This window comes from Homo sapiens, chromosome 10 (assembly GCF_000001405.40).
Source record: "Homo sapiens chromosome 10, GRCh38.p14 Primary Assembly".
Taxonomy (NCBI): domain Eukaryota; kingdom Metazoa; phylum Chordata; class Mammalia; order Primates; family Hominidae; genus Homo; species Homo sapiens.
Genome location: NC_000010.11, coordinates 68,184,008 through 68,203,337, shown reverse-complemented (window position 1 = coordinate 68,203,337; position 19,330 = coordinate 68,184,008). Strand labels below are relative to the sequence as shown.

General features: G+C 40.8%; 1 protein-coding gene across 12 annotated transcripts in view, besides 4 other annotated features; it reads right to left on the bottom strand.

The window, feature by feature from the left end:
- The window catches only part of MYPN (myopalladin), a 124,121-nt gene that overhangs the window by 8,680 nt on the left and 96,111 nt on the right, over positions 1-19,330 (bottom strand). For all 12 annotated transcript variants that reach the window (NR_045662.4, NR_045663.4, XM_047425879.1 and 9 more), the window contains 6 exons: positions 14,212-14,433; positions 8,826-8,975; positions 7,806-7,888; positions 5,860-5,986; positions 3,763-3,970; positions 1,344-1,509 (listed from right to left, as the gene is read on the bottom strand). Coding sequence is in view for 10 of the 12 variants with exons in the window: in XM_047425879.1 (XP_047281835.1) it covers positions 1,344-1,509; positions 3,763-3,970; positions 5,860-5,986; positions 7,806-7,888; positions 8,826-8,975; positions 14,212-14,433 (956 nt within the window). In the remaining 2 variants the exon portion in view is untranslated. The remainder of the gene's footprint in view (positions 1-1,343; positions 1,510-3,762; positions 3,971-5,859; positions 5,987-7,805; positions 7,889-8,825; positions 8,976-14,211; positions 14,434-19,330) is intronic.
- Positions 161-330: an enhancer, noted in NCBI's record as "experimental_16144 CRE fragment used in MPRA reporter constructs". NCBI's record gives its function as "activates a minimal promoter by MPRAs in K562 erythroleukemia cells, with activity observed for both the introgressed and non-introgressed 10:69962850 variant alleles {active_cell/tissue: K562}" and the evidence as "EXISTENCE:reporter gene assay evidence [ECO:0000049][PMID:34662402]".
- Positions 2,704-2,873: an enhancer, noted in NCBI's record as "experimental_16136 CRE fragment used in MPRA reporter constructs". NCBI's record gives its function as "activates a minimal promoter by MPRAs in K562 erythroleukemia cells, with activity observed for the non-introgressed 10:69960307 variant allele {active_cell/tissue: K562}" and the evidence as "EXISTENCE:reporter gene assay evidence [ECO:0000049][PMID:34662402]".
- Positions 8,710-8,879: an enhancer, noted in NCBI's record as "experimental_16132 CRE fragment used in MPRA reporter constructs". NCBI's record gives its function as "activates a minimal promoter by MPRAs in K562 erythroleukemia cells, with activity observed for both the introgressed and non-introgressed 10:69954301 variant alleles {active_cell/tissue: K562}" and the evidence as "EXISTENCE:reporter gene assay evidence [ECO:0000049][PMID:34662402]".
- Positions 18,452-18,746: a silencer, noted in NCBI's record as "tiled region #5989; HepG2 Repressive non-DNase unmatched - State 4:PromP". NCBI's record gives its function as "represses a minimal TATA promoter and a strong SV40 promoter by Sharpr-MPRA in HepG2 cells {active_cell/tissue: HepG2}" and the evidence as "EXISTENCE:reporter gene assay evidence [ECO:0000049][PMID:27701403]".

Sequence of the window (19,330 nt, the reverse complement as noted above, 5' to 3'; positions counted from 1 at the left end):
GGATTACAGGCATGAGCCACTGTGCCCAGCCAGAATGTCCTATGCTTACATTAAAATGACAGGCATCTTGTCACTAAAGGCAGGGGGAAGATGAATGGGCAGTGAGTGGGCAGCGGTCTCTGAGTCTTAGGCTTTCCCCACGGCAGCATCTCAGTCACTCCTCCTCCCTCCCCTGCCACTGCCTTCCCCAGGAAGTGGTGACTAAACCGAGCTGGTCCTCAGAGTCCAGGACTGAGCAATCACCCGGTCCCAGCAGTCAGCCTCGACTGGGAATGAACTTTCCAGACATTGATTTTGTTTTTGCCCAATAAAACCATATTTAAAATTGTAGACCCTCAGTTTATTTAGAGTATATAGTTTAATCTAGTTTAACATATTGCATTGTTAGATTGGAGCATTAACCCAAGACTATTCTCTGTTCTTGCTTAAGTTTTACTGTAGAAAAATGCACACCCCCACACCCCCACAATCCCAACACACACAATACACACACATATTTTAGATGTCAAAATTCTTTAAAACCCAACAGCTACAGCATTCTCTGGGGCAATTTCCGTTTACTGTGGTGAAATAATTCTCAGTAGAAAGTTTTGTACAGAAGCTACCTTTACTTACTTGTCCCCTTGTGGTATAAAACCAAAATGGCAAAGAAATTGCCATTTCCCTAAGTTGGTTAGGGAAGATTAAGCAACGTACCCAGTTTAAGAAACTGGATCCTTAAGCTTACTTTAAAAACAATCATTTAGTGATGGATGGAAAAGGAGTATAACTGCCTTGATGTTTCATTTTGTGTTAGCTTTTTTACTTCAAAGAGCTTTTCTGGGTCCTGATATAATTGAAGACATGGGACAAAAAATTTGCAAAATCTTCCATAAATTCCTTGTACTTTTTTTTTTCTTTTTTTTGAGACGGAGTCTCACTCTGTCACCCAGGCTGGAGTCCCGTGGCGCAATCTCAGCTCACTGCAAGTTCCGCCTCCCAGGTTCACGCCATTCTCCTGCCTCAGCCTCCCGAGTAGCTGGGACTACAGGCACCTGCTACCACGCCTGGCTAATTTTTTGTATTTTTTAGTAAAGATAGGGTTTCACTATGTTAGCCAGGATGGCCTCGATCTCCTGACCTCGTGATCCACCCGCCTTGGCCTCCCAAAGTGCTGGGATTACAGGCATGAGCCACTGCGCCTGGCCAGGAATACATTCTTAATACACACAATAATATCAATGAAACGCAAATGCATTATTCTAAATGAAGTAAGCCAGACTCAAATAGCAGCAGACTTATTTGGGTGGCGCAACAAGCCCCACTGAGAGTGGGAGTCCCTCTGGATGTGGTGGCTGCTGTACCTGATCCTCTCTCTGGTGCAAGGGATGGTCTCATTGTCTTTCTTCCAGTAGAACACAGGTGGGGGCATGCCTATCACGCGGCACTCCAGTCTCACGGGGTGGCCTTCGGGAACACCGCAGTTCTGTAGTTTCTCCAGGATCACAGGTGCTTTCTTCACCTCTTTGGCTGAGCAAGAGAAGGGTCATTCTTTTTTTCTTTCTTTTTTTTTTTTTTGAGACAGAGTCTTGCTCTGTCACCCAGGCTGGAGTGTGGTGGCAAGATCTCAGCTCACTGCAACCTCTGCCTGCACCCCTCCCCTGCCAGGTTCAGGTGATTCTCCTGCCTCAGTCTCCCGAGTAGCTGGGATTACAGGCGTGCACCGCCAAGCCTGGCTAATTTTTGTATTTTTAGGAGAGATAGGGGTTTCGTCATGTTGGCCAGGCTGATCTCGAACTCCTGGCCTCAGGTGACCCACCCGCCTTGGCCTCCCAAAGTGCTGGGGTTACAGGCATAAGCCACTGTGCCTGGTGGAGAAGGGTCATTCTTATTTGAATAGTAAGTACTTTGAGGTTCATGCCTCACAGTCACCACAGTTCTGGAATTCAGCAGAGTGGGCATGCACCCACCTTACCTCCTGGTCAGAACACTCCTCATGTCTTTTAGTGAGGATCACTGCCTTGATAAAAGCTTCATAAATGGTTTAAAAAACAAAAAGAAATGGGGCAACCATCTCTGCACATCCCACGAGAGGCAATACTTGAGGATCTGGGTCGTTCGCATGGGATGCAAATGCCAGGAATGGTGGAATTAAAGGAATTTCTTTTATATCTCAACAGTAGATTTTGAGAACCATATATTTTATTTACTAAAACAGATTTTTGGGGGTGGAGTTTTATTTTGTAGAAGACATAATAGTTTTTCCACAAAAATCTGACACCTACAGAATAACACTATCTAAAACACACACACACAAGACTGTGCTTCCCAAGGAGGCTTTTAGAGATTTGGCCAGGACAAATTTAGGTAAAGGTACCTCATGTCTTAGGGTTCCAAAGTCAATATTTTTTAGCAAAATAGTGGAATAAAGGTAAAAGCCTGAAATCAATGTATTCTTGCAGAATGAGTTTTTCCTGTTTTATTGGTGAGAAGAAATTAAAAGTGAGGGAAGGAAAAAGATATACAGGGGAAACCGCCACTAGCCTAGAGAGAGGATTAGCATGCTGAAGCCACCCTGAATTTCTTCTTCTTTTTTTTTTTGAGATGGAGTCTTGCTCTGTCACCCAGGCTGGAGTGCAGTGGTGCAATCTTGGCTGACTGCAACCTCCACCTCCCGGGTTCAAGCGATTCTCCTGCCTCAGCCTCCCTAGTAGCTGGGATTACAGGTGTGCGCCACCACACCTGGCTAATTTTTGTATTTGTAGTAGAGATGGGGTTTTGCCATGTTGGCCAGGCTGGTCTTGAACTCCTAACCTCAGGTGATCCACCCGCCTCAGCCTCCCAAAATGTTGGGATTACAGGTGTGAGCCACCGTGCCCCACACCCTGATTTTCTTAAAGGGCCACACTGAGAGCAGAAGGAAGCCCAGCACCAGAATTCCTGCATTCTGAAATTTACTTCAGGGCTGGCACCTCCCAGATGACAATGTCTTGTTGTCCTTATGTATAGGCATTACAGTGTTTCATTCACATCATCTAAGAATATAAAGTTTCACTTGTTTAGATATTGATTCAATATTTCTTGGGCACCTTCCATGTTCCAGGCACTGAGATATGCAGAAGAGAGACAGAGGCACTGGAGATGTGCAAGACGAGCCACAGTCTCTGACCTTAGGAGCTCAGCATCTCTTCAGGGAGGCAAATAATTAACATTTACACAGAAGGCCCTACCTGCTCTATGAATCTCTCCTTTTCTGAGTGCTATGGAAACACTTTACGGTTGTTAGGCTGGGAAGGGGTATTTGTGCCTGGTGGATCCACTGTACCTGGTGGTGACATTTCAGTTAGGTCTTACAGAATGAGTAGGAGGTGCCAGGCAGAAAAGGACATTCAGGTAGAAAAGGACATTCAGGTAGAGGGATCATTGGTGCAAAGGCATGAAAGCTTAGACAGAGGACAAAGAGCCTAGTATGTTCCAGGAATGATGGACTGTAGGGCAAATAACTGGAATTTAGTGACAGCTAATTGATTGATTGATTGACTGATGATGACAATGGCTCTCATTTATTTAATGGGTATTATGCACATGGTGTCATATTATGATTTTAGATTACTGGCATGTTTTTGAAAGTGATGTGGGAAATACCACCCCTACCACAGTGAAGGGGAAATTGAGATTGGAGTTAGTAGGGCAAAGGATGAAGGAATTCTGGCAGAGGCTCTGCCTCTTTGGGTAATGACTTTGGAGGAAGTTGTGTTTAGGGGTCCCAGCAGCAAACCTTACCTACTACAGAGAGCTCCAGACTAAAAGAATTCTGCCCGGTTTTGTTGGTAGCGATGCACTTATAGGTCCCTGCGTCGCGCTGAGTGAGTGGGTCAATGAGCAGAGAGTGGACTCCGGTCTCCCTGACCAGCATCTTGTGGGAGGCATCTGGTAGCACAGGTTGGCCATTGAGTAGCCATGTCAGCTCCGGGGGCGGTAAACCACTCACCTAATAAACAACAGAACAGCTGAGGCACATGACTGATGACAGGCACATTTATTTGATGGCTGAATTCTTTATCCTTGCTTGGCACCAAACAGACAGTGAGAGAAAACATGGAGTGATGAGAAACCTCTCTGTAGGGGCATCGAGAGAAACGAAGAGTCTGAATAAACAGCTGCATGAATTTGAACTGTATGGTACTTTGGTCACAGTTAAGGTAATGGTTAACCTATTTGATTATACTCTAGATTAGAATAAATAAGAATTAAAAAGTGAAATAGATAGATATAATAGGCCTGCAGCATCAATTTCAGAGATGATATACTGCTTACATACCTAATAGCCAAGAGAAAAGCCAGATTTTTTTTCTAAAAAAAAAACGAAAACAAGAAAAACACAGGATACATGTGCAGAACACGCAGGTTTGTTACATAGGTATATGTGTACCACGGTGGTTTGCTGCACCTATTGACCTGTCCTCTAAGTTCCCTCCCCTCACCCCTCCCATCCCCCCAACAGGGCATGGTATGCTCCCCTCTCTGTGTCCATGTGTTCTCAGTGTTCAACTCCCACTTGTGAGTGAGAACATGTGGTGTTTGGTTTTCTGTTCCTGTGTTAGTTTGCTGAGGATGATGAAAGGCCAGATATTAAACCAGAGCTCTTGAATCTTGCTGTGTATTACAATCATGTGGGAGGTGTTTAAAAATCCTGGTGCCCATTTACCATAAGTGAGAATCTCTGCGGATGGGACCCAGGCATGGGAATCTTTCAGAGTTTAGGGAGGGGGATGTAGCAATCAATCCGAATATTATTTAGGCAGCCACAGAGAGAAGAAGAACCACAGATAGAAGTGGACCCTTTATGAATGCTTAATCTCAAGTTTTGACTAATTTGCATCTAAGTCTTCCATAGCATTCTGCATCTATGGGCAGAAAGGGTGACATAAGCTTCTCTTCATTCTGAGAGATATCCAAGCTGCTCAACTAGAGCCCGGTCAAAAAATGAGAATGCAGAATAGCTAAAGGTAATGGAGGTTGATTAGTATGAGAAACCAGCTTCTGTTCTCATACACTACCTTGGAGCCATATTTTCATGTCTATAAATTTTCAAAGGCCACACATTCAACAATTCACTTCAAGGATGTGAAAATCACACCATATGGCTTTATAGTAATAAAGGCCTTCCAGACACCATATGAAAAGGCTTGTATCTAAATCTTCCATAGCATTCTAGAATTCTTAAAAGGCTTAGATGCAAATGTCTGAATTATAGTAGTCCTCCTTTTGTCTAAAGTTTCAGTTACCCGAGGTCAACCACAATCTGACAATATTAAATGAAAAATTTCAGAAATAAAGTTTCTAAGTTTTCAATTGTGTTTCGTTCCGAGTACATGATGAAATCTCATGCCGTCTTACTCCATCCTACCCATGGGTATGAATCACCCATTTGCCCACCGCGTTCACACTGTCTATGCTACCTGCCCATTAGATACTTAGTAGCTGTCTTGGTTATCAACTTTAAAAAATAGTATATATAGGGCTCAGTACTACCTAAAGTTTCAGGCATTCACTGTGGGGCTTGGAACGCGGGCCCCTCAGATAAGGGGGAACTACTGTGTATCACCTCTTTGGTTGTCTTCTAAAAATGCAATTAACTTGATATAATACCAATGTAATTTTTATTAATATATAGAGATTCAAAAATTTCATAAAATAATTTCATCTGACATTAAATACTCCAAACAAGCCTTATGATGAAAAAAAGTGATCTGTCTCCCTTCCCCATCTCATCTTTCCTGAAAAAAAAAACCCACAAAACAAATACAAATAAAAATGAATGCAAACAAATACAAAATATGAACAGATCTGGAACTAAGCATGGGTGCTGGAGTCTACCTTACAGTCCAGCCGACAGAGGCGCCCCTCATGAGCTACCATATCCCCAGGAGCCTGCAGGAAATGTGGTCGGAAAAAGCGTTCCTGTAGGGGCTCTTTGTCTCTTTCTTGCACTCGGGATCTTCCCCTATAACAACAAGCATGTTCAGATATTAAACATAGAAATAAATTTACAAACTTATGATAATAGGCATTTAGGCATGGCTACAGACCTAGAGAACAGATTTTTTTTTTTTGAAGGGGGAAAGGGGAGGCTGGACTATAAACAATAAATAATGGTGTGGAGCTGATGTAAAACACAAAGTGGTAAGTATCTCATATACTGTGGGATTGTCTTGCGAGATCTGCAATCAAATAAACAGGCTTAGCTTCTTTCTGTCATTCTGGATTAAGTGGGCTCAGCTCCCCTTGCTATGAGTTCGACCAGTTATTCAAAAGCCATCAAAATAAACAAATAGATCAGTATTCAATCTGAACCTCAAACGAGAGCCAAAAGAGAAGTCCTGTTTATTACCCAGAGTAAGGCAGCTGCAATCCCTGTGTCTTTGAGTAATAAAATTTAACCTGGCTATAAATTATGGCAGACCATTAAAGATGACTATGAACTTAAACTGGATAAGACTGACCAACGGTAACAGCTGTTCTTAAAAAAGGAGGAGGAGGAGAAGGAGGAGGAGGAGGCAAAGGGAGAGGGGGCCAGGTGTGGTGGCTCAAGCCTGTAATCCTAGCACTTTGGGAGGCTGAAGCAGGTTGACTGCTTGAGCTCAGGAGTTTGAAACCAGCCTGGGCAACATGGTGAAACCCCGTCTTTACAAAAAAATACAAAAATTAGCTGGGCATGGTGGTGCACACCTGTGGTCCCAATTACTTGGAAGGCTGAGGTGGGAAGATCACTTGAGCCCGGAAGGTGGAGGTTGCAGTGAACTGAGATCGCACCACTGCATTCCAGCCTGGGTGACAGAGTGAGACCCCCATCTCAAAAAAAAAAAAAAAAAGAAGAAGAAGGTATAGTTGCAACGGTGGTGAAATACTGTATCTGAAACATGGGTCACTATTTTTGTTCCTTTGGTAAGTCACATTTAATTCGTCTGTGTCAGCAGCTATGGAATGCTTTGCTAAGACTTCGTGGCACCGTAAGATTCAGGTGGAAAGCCAGGCTCTTTCTTCTTAGTGGTTAGTAAAATCAGAGAGGAAGAAAACCAGTTGTTGTATTGGAGACAACAACAAAAACATTCCATCAATATACATTCAATCATTAAAGGTTTCTGTTTTATGAAACAAAAGATGGTAACTTACTTCAATGGGTCTGATTTACATATTATGTGTGCAGGTGCTACTGATGGTTACAAATTTTGAACCATTAAAAGCATGCCAGGTTGGGAGTGATGGCTCATGCCTGTAATCCTAGCACTTTGGGAGGCCAAGGCAGGAGGATTGCTTGAGGCCAGGAGTGTGAGACAAACCTGGGCAACATAGTGAGACACCTGTCTCTACACACACACAGAAAAATTGAGCCAGCATGGTGGCATGCGTCTGTAGTCTCAGCTACTTGGGAGGCTGAGGTGGGAAGATGGCTTGAGCCCATGAATTTGAGGTTGCAGTGAGCTATGATCACACGACTGCACTCCAGCCTGGGCAACAAAGTGAGACCCTGTCTCTAAAAAATAAAAATCAAACTTAAAAAAAAAGCCCCAGAGACTAGTGCTTGTTAAACTTTACTATGCTTGTGGATCACCTGGGAATTCTGTTAAAATGCAGATTCTGAGTCAGTAGATCCAGAGTGGGGCCTGGGATTCTGCATTTCCAACCAACGCCCAGGTGATGCTAGTGCTGCAAGTGAAGGACTACCTTTAATTAAGAATTTGTGGATCCAGTACTTTGGTGCTCACGATAGTGGGCAGGTGCTTGGGAAGGGCCTAGAGAGGGGGAATTCTTACTGTCTTTACCTGTGAGACTGACCAGCAGAGGTTAGCCGACTGCGAATGGGCAAACTTTGTACCATCAAGTGGCCAGAACAGCTGATTCTCCCCTGACAAACAGAAAAAGAGCAAGATTAAAACAAGAACAATCTCACATTTTTTCAATTTACATAAAAATTTCTGGACCAGAACACCGTGAAATTTTGGCTATTATGAGTTTTTCTTTGGGGGAGAGAAATAAAAACAATAAAATATGATTTCTTAAATCATTGTTAATATTCCAGGGGGAGAGATTTTTAAGAGTATGGTAACGACTTTCATTTTTAAACTGAGATATGAACAAGTCAAAGGTAAAAAGAAATTTGAATTCTTATGTACTTAACTTTATTTTCAGTCAAAATTTAGAAAGCATGGCCAAATATTTTCATACATTCCTCAACAGAGATTCTTCAAAACTAACATTTCAGTAGGAATGGATGTTATAGTTCTGTACTTCCTATTCAAATAGTAATTGAAGATGTTTATTCTGCCACATCTTTTAGGGGAATTTTAAGATTTGGCTTCATTCAGAAAAGGAAAGTGGATGATTATGGCTTTCCAAGTTTAAAAAACAAAACAATCCCAAAATGTGGACACTATGAGTTTGAGGGATATTCACAAACCTTCGCAAAGTAATTTGCCTATTCACTAAAGAACAAAAATGACAGATCGTTCTTGATAGAATGATTGATATAATGATTTATTGACTCTTCAAGAGAATCAATGTGTTGAGAAACACAAGATCTAGTTCAAGAAGTCTGCAAGGTATACATAGTGAAAAAATAGTACTAAGGTCCCTTGACAAAGGCTGAAGGATTGAGTGACCTGTCAGTGGCTAACTAGTCCTTTAAGTTGTGATGCTGTGCCCTAGTTACACAAAATCACAATGCTTCTCATTCATTTTCCTCAGCAATCCTTAGTAACTCGCACTTCTCAAGGTCTCATTCACAATGACATCAACCGCTCCTTCCTCAGAGTGCAGCACAGCGCAGAACCCTGCGTCTCCACCTGGGGGTTGGCTGCCATGATGGTGTAGTTGCCATCGTCATCACTGGTAGTGGATTCAATGTGCAGAGAGCATGTCCCATCTCCTTCTCGCCTCATTTTGCAGTGCTCATTTCTCTTAGAAATCTGCTTCCCATCTTTGAACCAGTAAACCTGAAATGAAAAATTATCAAGATGTACACTGTTTTGTTTATCTTTAGAGGTTAATGAACTAGGGTCTGGGGTGAGGAAAGGGCCAACTGCCATCTTTTAAGTGACCATACTTTATGAAGCACTTGAAAAAAAGTTATAAAACATATTAAAAATGGCTGTATAATATGCCCCTCCACTCGTACCTGTATAATACTATTTAATATTAAATATTATATTATTTAAGTCAAGAATCCAATATAATTTAGGACTAAGATGAAGCTTTTGACTATTTTTCTTGTACTTCACACATAGTTTTAAAAGCCACCCTAAGGACTGGACATGCCTTCAGAAGCAAAATAATGAAAACCAGGAGAGTGGATATTCTCATTACCTTATTTACAAGCTCAAGTTTCCTGCAGTTGCAGATCTCAGCACTTAGAACAAGTCACCTTGCTTGAAAGGTTAGTATGGTTTGTTACACTAAATGGAATGAGGCTAGGATTAACTTGCTAAATTTCTCATCTAGCCAAAATGTAAATATCTATGTGTGTGTGTGTGTGTGTGTGTGTGTGTGTGTGTGTGTGTGCACATACACATCTATCTATATATTTCCTGTTAAGTTTTGCATGTGTGAAGGAGATCTCTCAAAGACAGAGGAGATAAAGTGCTGGTTACAGCTGTCCTCCTCTACTTTTCCTGGTTACCTAACCATACATGATAACACTATGCTAATGTTTATGAAAGTAGAGCAGAGAGATCCTCTGCCACAAACATGCTGGGTGTAAATCCTTCTCTCAGCTGACTGCCAAAAAATCTGCTGACTGATGTGATTTTTCAGCATCCAGTGATAACGATATGACATTTTCAGCATTTACCAACCTAATACAGTTCACTTTGTACAAGAACAGGTACCCTGTGGATATTAAATAGATATTAAGCAGACAGAAAAATATCAGTTTGGTGAGTTTGATGGCTATGAAAATCAATAGCCCAAAATATAGTATCATGACTAAGACATTTATTTTAAACTTTTATTAAAATTTGAACTTACCCATAAGTCTGATTTCTTTTTAGCGTGACTATTTAATGATCTCATTCCTGATGGGGTTTTTTTTTAAGTGAAATTATCTGGGCTTTGCTAATTTTCTGGTATGGGTTTTCATTCCCTCTGTAGACACTTCACTAGAATCTGATAAGACTTTCTTACTAAGAGGGAAGTTTATAGCAATAAATACCTACATAAAAAAAAACCCAGAAAGACTCCAAATAAATTAGCTAAAGAGGCATCTCAAAGAACAAAGCAAGAACAAACCAAATTCAAAATTAGTAGATGGAAAGAAATAATAAATACAGAGCAGAAATCAATGAAATTGAGACTAAAAAAATGCAAAAGACCAAAAATACAAGAGATGAAAAGTTGGTGTTTTAAAAAGATAAACAAAATTGACAAACATTTAGCTAGACTAAGAAAGAAAGAGAGAAGAGAGAAGACCCAAATAAAATAAGAGATGAAAAAGGAAACAATACAACTGATAACCACAGAAACACAAAGGATCACTAGAGACTATTATGAACAACTATATGCCAGCAAATTGGAAAACCTGGAAGAAATTGGCAAATTCCTGGACACATACAACCTACCAAGACTAAACTACAAAGAAATAGAAAACTAGCAGACCAGACCAATAATGAGTGATGAGATTGAAGCAGTAACGAAAAAGTCTCCCATCCAAGAAAAGCCCAGGGCCTAATGGATTCACTGTTGAATTCTACCAAACATTTAAAGAAGAACTAATATCAATTCTACTCAAACTATTTCAAAAAGTTAAAGAGGAGATAATACTTCCAAACTCATTCTACAAGACCAGCATTATCCTGATACTCAAACCAGTCAAAGACCCAACAACAACAGCAACAACAACAACAGAACTACAGGTAAATATTCCTGATAAACATAGGTGCAAAAATCCTCAACAAAATACTACCAAACTAAATTCAACAACACATCGAAAAGATTATTTATCATGATCAAGTGTGATTCATCTCAGCTCTGCAAGGATGATTCAACACAGGCAAGTCAATACACATGACACATCCCATAAACAGAATCAAAGACAAAAACCATATGATCATTTCAATAGACACTGAAAAAGCACTCAATTAAATTCGGCACCTCTTTATAATAAAAAACCCTCAACAAATTGAGTGTAGAAGGAACACAACACAATGAAGTCCATATATGACAAACCCACAGCTAATATCGTACTGAACAGGGAAAAATTGAAAGCCTTTACACTAACATCAGGAACAAGACAAAGATGCCCACTTTTACCACTTTTATCTGATGTAGCCCTAAAAGTCCTGGCCAGAGTAATTAAGCAAGAAAAAGAAATAAAGGCACCCAAATTGGAAAGGAAGAAGTCAAATTATCCTTGCTTGCAGATGACATGATCTTATATTTTAGAAAAATGTAGGCTCTATCAAAAACCTCTTAGGGTAAACAAATTTAGTAAAGTTGCAGGATACAAAATCAACTTACAAAAATCCGTAGCATCTATACACTAACAGCAATCACTCTGAAAAAGAAATCAAGAAAGCAATGCTATTTACAATACCTACAAAAATAAATAAGTAAAATGCCTAGGAATAAATTTAACCAAAGAAGTGAAAGATCTCTACAAGGAAAACTATAAAACACTGAAAGAAATAGAAGAGGGCACACACACACAAATGGAAAGATATCCCACGTTCACGAATTGGAAGAATTAACATTGTTAAAATGTCTATACTGCTCAACGTGATATACAGATTCAACGCAATCCCTATCAAAACAACAATGACATCCTTTGCAGAAATAGAAAAAACAGGCTGGGTGTGGTGGCTCACGCCTGTATTCCCAGCAGTTTGGGAGGCCAAGGTGAGCAGATCACTTGAGGCCAGGAGTTCAAGACCAGCCTGGCCAACACAGCAAAATCCCATCTTTATTAAAGGTACAAAAATTAGCCAGGCATAGTGGCACACAGCTGTCATCCCAGCTACTCAGGAGTCTGAGGCAGGAGAATCGCTTGAACCCAGGAGGTGGAGGTAGCAGTGAGCAGAGATCTCACCACTGCACTCCAGCCTGGGCAATAGAGCAAGACCCTGTCTCAAAAAAGAAAAAAAAAAAAGAAATAGAAAAAACAATTCTAAAATTCATATGGAATCACAAAAGACCACAAATAGCCAAAACAACCCTGAGCAAAAAGATCAAAGCTGCAGGCATTATGCTACCTGATTGCAAATTATACCTTAAAGCTATCATATCCAAAACACCATGGTACTCGCAAAAAAATAGACACATAGACCAATGGAACAGAATAGAGAACCCAGAAATAAATCCATGTATTTATAGCCAACTCATTTTTGACAAAGGCGCCAAGAACATACATTGAGAGAAAGGACAGTCTCTTCAACAAATGGTGCTAGGAAAACTAAATACCCATATGGAGAAGAATGAAACTAGATCTTCACTTTTCACCAGATAAAAAAATCCAGTCTAAATACATTAAAGACTTAAGTGCCAGGCCTGAAACTATGAAACTACTAGAAGAAAACAATGGGGAAACACTATAGGATATTGGTCTAGCCAAATTTTTTTTTGGGTAAGACCTTAAAAGCACAGGCAACAAAGGCAAAAATAGACAAATTGGATTACAGCAAGTAAAAAGCTTCTGCTCAGCAAAGGAAACAATTAACAAAGTGAAGAGACAACCTACAGAATGGGAGAAAATATTTGCAAAGTATCCATCTGACAAGGGATTACTAACCAGAATATATAAGGAACCCAAACAACTCAATAGCAAAAAACAAAAACAAAAACAAAGACTGTTAAAAATGGGCAAAAGACCTGAATAGGCTGGGCGTGGTGGCTCACGCCTGTAATCCAGTACTTTGGGAGGCTGAGGCCTCCAGGGTGGATCACCTGAGGTCAGGAGTTTGAGAGCAGCTTGGCTAACATGGTGAAACCCCGTCTCTACTAAAAATACAAAAATTAGCCAGGTGTGGTGGCAGGCACCTGTAATCCCAGTTACTCAGGAGGCTGAGGCACGAGAATTGCTTGAACCTGGGAGGCAGAGGTTGCAGTGAGCCAAGACTGTGCCACCACACTCCAGCCTGGGCGACAGAGTGAGACTTTGTCTCACACACACACACAAAAAAGACCTGAATAGACATTTCTCAAAACACATACAAATGGCCAACAGGTATATGAAAAAATGTTCAACATTACTAATCAATAGGAAAATGCAAATCAAACCCCAAGAAATATAATCTCACCAGAGTTAGAATGGCTATTACCAAAAAGACAAAAAAAAATGCTGGTGAGGATGCGGAGAAAGGGGAACCCTCATACACTGTTGGTGGAAATGTAAAGTAGTGCAGCTGCTATGGAAAACAGTATGGAGATTCTTTTCTCCAAAAACCAAAAATAGAACTACCATATGATCCAGCAATCCCACTGCTGGATATATATCCAAAAGAAAGGAAATCAGTATGTTGAAGAGATATCTGCACTCCTGTATTTACTGCAGCACTATTCATGATAGCCAAGTTACAGAATCAACCTATGTGTCCATCAATGAATGAATACATAAAGAAAATGGGGTATCTATACACAATGGAATATTATTCTGCTATAAAAAGAATGAATGAAATCCCATCATTTGCAGCAACATGGATGGAACTGGAAGTCGTTATGTTAAGTGAAGTAAGCTGGGCACAGAAAGGCATGTATTGCATGTTCTGACTGACATGTGGGAGCTAAAGGAAATGATCTCATGGAGGTGGTGAGTGGAATGGTGGTTACCACAGGCTGGGAAGGATAGATGGGAGAAGGGAATGAAGAGAGGTTGGTTAATGGGTAAAAACACACAGTTAGATAGAAGAAATAAGTTCTAGTACTTGATAGCACAGTGGAAAAATTATAGTTAATAATAACTTGTATATTTCAAAATAGCTAGAAGAGAAAAACTGTAATGTTCCCAATACACAAAAAAGATAAATGTTTGAGTGATGGATATCTCAGTTATCCTGATTTGATCATTACACATTGTATACATGTATCAAAATATTGCATATACCCTAAAACATGTACAACTATATCAATAACAAATACAAAAAAGAAGAAAAAACATTGCGTATATTTTTTAAAGACCTTCTTGAAGGCACTGTCTATAGCTTCATGCTGTGAGGTGGCCAACTGGCTTGTCATCTTCCCTACCTTTGGAACAGGTATCCCAACAATTTTGCAGGTGAATGTAACTGGAGAGCCTTCTGTGACCCGGAAGTGCTTGAGTCTCTTGTCAAAGATGGGAGCAATACACTTGCCCGTGGGGATCTCATCATGTTGAATTTCATCATCTGATTCATCAACAGGAGTACGTTCCAAGCGAAACTCTATTTCATTCATCAGCCTCTGCTCAAAGCTTGAAATTTTGTACTCCTGTCAAAATGACAAACGTGTTTCAATTTCCATATGGCAAGGAAGAACATGTCCATCAGTACAATTGAGGAAGCCACTTTTTAAGATTCAGACGTTAGATTTATACCATGAAATCCAAATGAACCAGGTATGTTCCAGATCCAGTTTCTCACCATGGAGCACTAAAGGAAATGTCAGTGTCTCTCCTAAAATCCCACACGGCCTTAGTGAATCCTGATTTTCCACCTGAGCATGCAGCCCCAGGAGAATTCTGTAGGAAATGGAATGTAGATGGAATATAATTTTCAGAGCTACTATTAGTGTTCCTTTCAATATGGAAAACTTCCTATAGCATTATTTTGGCAAAGCCATTCTGAACTGCATTCTGATACATGCCTGCATCACCAGCTTCCTGTCTCTACTGGATTTTTCCATCTTCACACTTGAGGAAAACCTGTCTTGAAAAATATATCTCTACTGTAACAATACAAGAATGATAGAAAAAAAAAAAAAAGAGGCCAGGCATGGTGGCTCACGCCTGTAATCCCAGCCCTTTGGGAGGCTGAGGTAGGTGGATCACCTGAGGCCAGGAATTCGAGACCAGCCTGGCCAACACAGAAAAGCTCTGTCTCTACTAAAAATACAAAAATTAGCTGGGTGTGGCGGTGCACACCTATAATCCCAGCTACTGGTGTGGCTGAGGTATGAGAATTGCTTGAACCTAGGAGGCAAATGTTGCAGTGAGCTGAGATCATGCCACTGCAATTCAGCCTGGGCAACAGAGCACAACTCTGTGTCAAAGAAAAAGAAAAGAAAAAGAAAAAAATCTCTCTTAACCCCATGTCTGCTTTCACTGCATCTCTCTGCCCCCCTCACAACAAAACCATGTGAAATAATCCTCTAATGTTATGAGATTGTTTCATTGTCACCTATTCTCTTGCTAACCTACTTCAATTAGTCTTGTGTTCTTTTTCTTCCTCTGAGATTGCTACTGTAGGGTCTCCAAATATGCCACATCTAATTGTCATTTATCCATTCTTACCTTACTTGATCTAAGCAGCATTAGACACAGATGACTACTTTTTCCTTTTGAAACATTTCCTTCCGTGACACACCATACTGGTCTTTCCTTCTCTTTCTCTCACTGCACCAGTCTCCTGTGCTCCTCTGCTCTAGGTGAGCTCATCCAATCTCCTAGCTTCAGATACTTTCTGCTGATGACTCCCAAATCCATATCTCCAAGCCTGGTCTCTTTCCCAGAATTCCAGAGTCATATACTACTACTCTACATTATGGTGTCTAATGGGCATTTCAGACAGGATGGCTCAAACAGCACATGCTTGATTTCTGTCCCCAAGAGATACTTGTAACCTACTTTTCCTCATTTCAGGAAATGGCACCACTATTCACCACTTGGTTGAGTGATTAAACCAATGTTTCTCACACTGTCTACCATGAAAATCAGGTTTTAAAAATTTCCAGGCTGCACTTTTGTAAAGTAAAATAAAAACAAATTACTAGCCAAATGAAAGAAATGCAAAATTATTGTATACTATATAAAACTTCCCTGTCAAATTTCTATGAAATTTTCTGAATGGTTACTATTTTTTTTTTTTTTTGAGATGGAGTCTTCCCTCTGTTTTGTTGCCCAGGCTGGAGTGCAGTGGCTGGGATTACAGGCGCCCTCTGCCATGCCCAGCTAACTTTTGTATTTCTAGTAGAGACAGGGTTTCACCATGTTAGCCAGGCTGATCTCGAACTCCTGACCTCAAGTGATCCACCCACCTCAGTCTCCCATAGTGCTGGGATTACAGGTGTGAGCCACCATGCCCAGCCCTGAATGGTTACTCTTAATTTTTGTGCTAATCTCAAGGCAGAGAGGTGACATCTTGCAGGCTGGCACAGGTCCTCGGACCACACTTTGACAGCACTAAGTAAACCCTAAATCTAGGACTCATCCTGGATTCCTCTTACTCCCTCTCCCTGCCATAGCCTGCCCATCAAACTTAAATGTCACCTCCCCAAAGCAGCCTCCCCAGATCCCTTCATCTAATGTAACTCCCCATTCTAATTCTCTACATAGCACTGGTTACTATCTAGTATTTTTCTTGTTTGTTTATTGATTGAATGATTGAATCTTCAAGTGTTAGAATGTTAGCTCCGCTAGAGCAGGGATCTTGTCTTCCTTCTCCCTATATTGACAGCACCTAGAAGAGTACCTGCACCATGGCAGGTGAGCGCTCAATAAGATCTGAAGAATGAGTGAATACATGAATCAAATAGAAGCAATCACTTTTTCTGACATTAACACATCTTTGGGGAATCTGGAGCCATGTGCTTGGGGTGAGAGTGAGACCTTTGGTTAAATTTATGACTCTAGTTAACCCTAATTTTATAATTTAGGGGAGCTCTATGGAGATGGTACTGGGATGCTCCTGAAGTGGAATTTGGAATCATGTGGCTGATATGCACCTGCCCCTAGTCAGCGGGAGAGTAACTGAGTTCAGGACTCAAGCATTCTCAAGCTAAATCACATTAGTGATGTTCTCTAATTACTGCCTTATACATTCAATATAATCATCTGAATTTGGATAGAATTTTAACTTTGGAACTACAGAAACCAAGTGTTTCTTGGTTTTAATTTACTGGAACCAATTTTAAATCTGCTCCTCTCTGCCTCGTCTCAAACTGGGTAAAAAAAAGTAAGTACACAGTTCTTATAGGGTGGAAAAAGTGATTAACATCCAGCAAAGCTTATTAATTTTTAATGAGATCATTCAAATCAGTTAAAGTAAAAGATTGTTACTGGATTCTGAAACCAGATTTAGTTGAAATATATTAAGATTATTTCCTACATTATAGGAATATTTTTGGGAAAAGTTAACAATTAAAGCTTCCACTATCCACCTGTTAGGTAGAACCATGTGAAACTGACATTTTTGTAGGTCAACAATTGTAGACTATCAGAAGTTTCATATGATTCAGCCTAATTCTTCACAATGACTACATTTTCCAGAAATATATTAAATGGTCTCACAAGTTTGAAGTATTTTCTAGACTTGCCAGTTTAAAATTACACCAGGATATTTTTTTTCTTTGTTGGATTGTATTCATGATTCTAAATTGATATGATTCTAAATTGATATTACTTTTCTTTTTAATAAATTTGGGTTTATTTTCCAGGATGTTTAGAAGTAAACCAATAAATCATTTTATTCCCTTACCATGTGAGATAGGTGCTACATTTTATTATTTACTATTTTCAAATTACATTCAAAATGAATAATTCACATAGTTCTCACTCCACATGCAGATCCTAGACCCCAAACTTTTCATGAGGGTGGCTGTTCTCCATTTATTTCAGGCTCTGTGATCATTGGTGGGGAGGGGTGTGGACTGGGTGCCTGTGCTCATAAGGAGGAGTGCCTAGAGGTGCTGACTGAGCCTGTACGTGGCAGGGGGTGTTGGGGAGGGTATGTGGATGGCACCCACCCTGGAGGCCCCCACTAGGGAATTAGCTGGGGACTCTTGCTATGGGTAAATCATAAAGAAAATGTTATTGTTTTCTAAAAGCTAATCTGTGCTTTTCAGAGTTTTCTGTTCATTTTTCAGAAACAAAGACTAAAGCAAGCAGAAGTCCCAGTTTCTTTCTTTCTTTTTTTCTCTTTTCTTTTTTCCTTTCCTTTCCTTTCCTTTCTTTTCTTTTCACTTCTTCCCTTCCTCCCTTCCTTCCCTCCTTCCCTCCTTCCCTCCTTCCCTCCTTCCCTCCCTCCCTCCCTCCTTCTTTCTGACGGGGTTTCACCATGTTGCCCAGGCTGGTCTTGAACTCCTGAGCTCAAGCAATCCACCTGCCCTGGCCTCCCAAAGTGTTGGGATTACAGGCTTGAGCACGCCCGGCCGGAAGTCCCAGTTTCCATCATCACCAAGTTATAGCCATCCACCCTTAAATGGTTAACAGGAATGGGGAGGCTGTGTGGCTTCAGATGTTTCCTTTTCACCCACCAGAGATTCTCCTCTTTCCTCTCTCGATGCTACAGATCCTGGTCCTCCACCTCCCATTTCCAGCCCCCACTTCTCAGCATACTCCCAGGACTGGTTAGTGCTGGCCAGCCAAGGACAGGGCACAGGCACCGAAAGTCAGAAGAGAAAGCTCCAAGGCTTCGTCTCCCAACCTGTCCCTTCCCTGACACTGGGGCTGCAGCTGTTTCCCCAGACCCAACCCTGCTGTTGTCTGCTGCCCGCCCTCATTCCATTCCTGTTTCCTCTGCTCCTATCTCATTTCCATGTCCTGCCACAGTTCCTTAAAGAAATGCCTCAAAAAATACAAAAATTAGCTGGGCGTGGTGGCGTGTGCCTGTAATTCCAGCTACTCGGGAGTCTGAGACAGGATAATCACTTGAACCCGGGAGGCAGAGGTTGTAGTGAGTCAAGATCGTGCCATTGCACTCCAGCCTAGGGGACAAGAGTGAAACTCCGTCTAAAAAAAAATGCCTCCAACAGTTAACACAGGATCTGGGTTTACTCTGGACTCCTCGTGTTTACTCTGGTAAATCTTATTTGGGTCATTCATGCATCCGATCCTTTTACCAATTCTCTACGAATGGCCCTTGTTCCTATGGGACTATGTGAAGAAAAGGGCATATCAAGGTGGATATCAGACTCTTTTTACTCTCACATAGTCTGTTTCCAGTTATTCCTGAAAACCTTTACAAAGGCTTTGCTTGCTTTGTATCAGGATATTACGTATCTGAATCCAAATTACCAGGAACAAAAGAAAAACTTGATGGATGAAGAGAAACAAGAATACCAGTCCCTGAGGTCTATAGAATAAAATAAAGGGAGTAACCAAGGAGCCAGCCCAAAATGGAGAAGTATTCTGAGGGATTTTCTTTTTTTTCTTTTTGAGACAGGGTTCTCA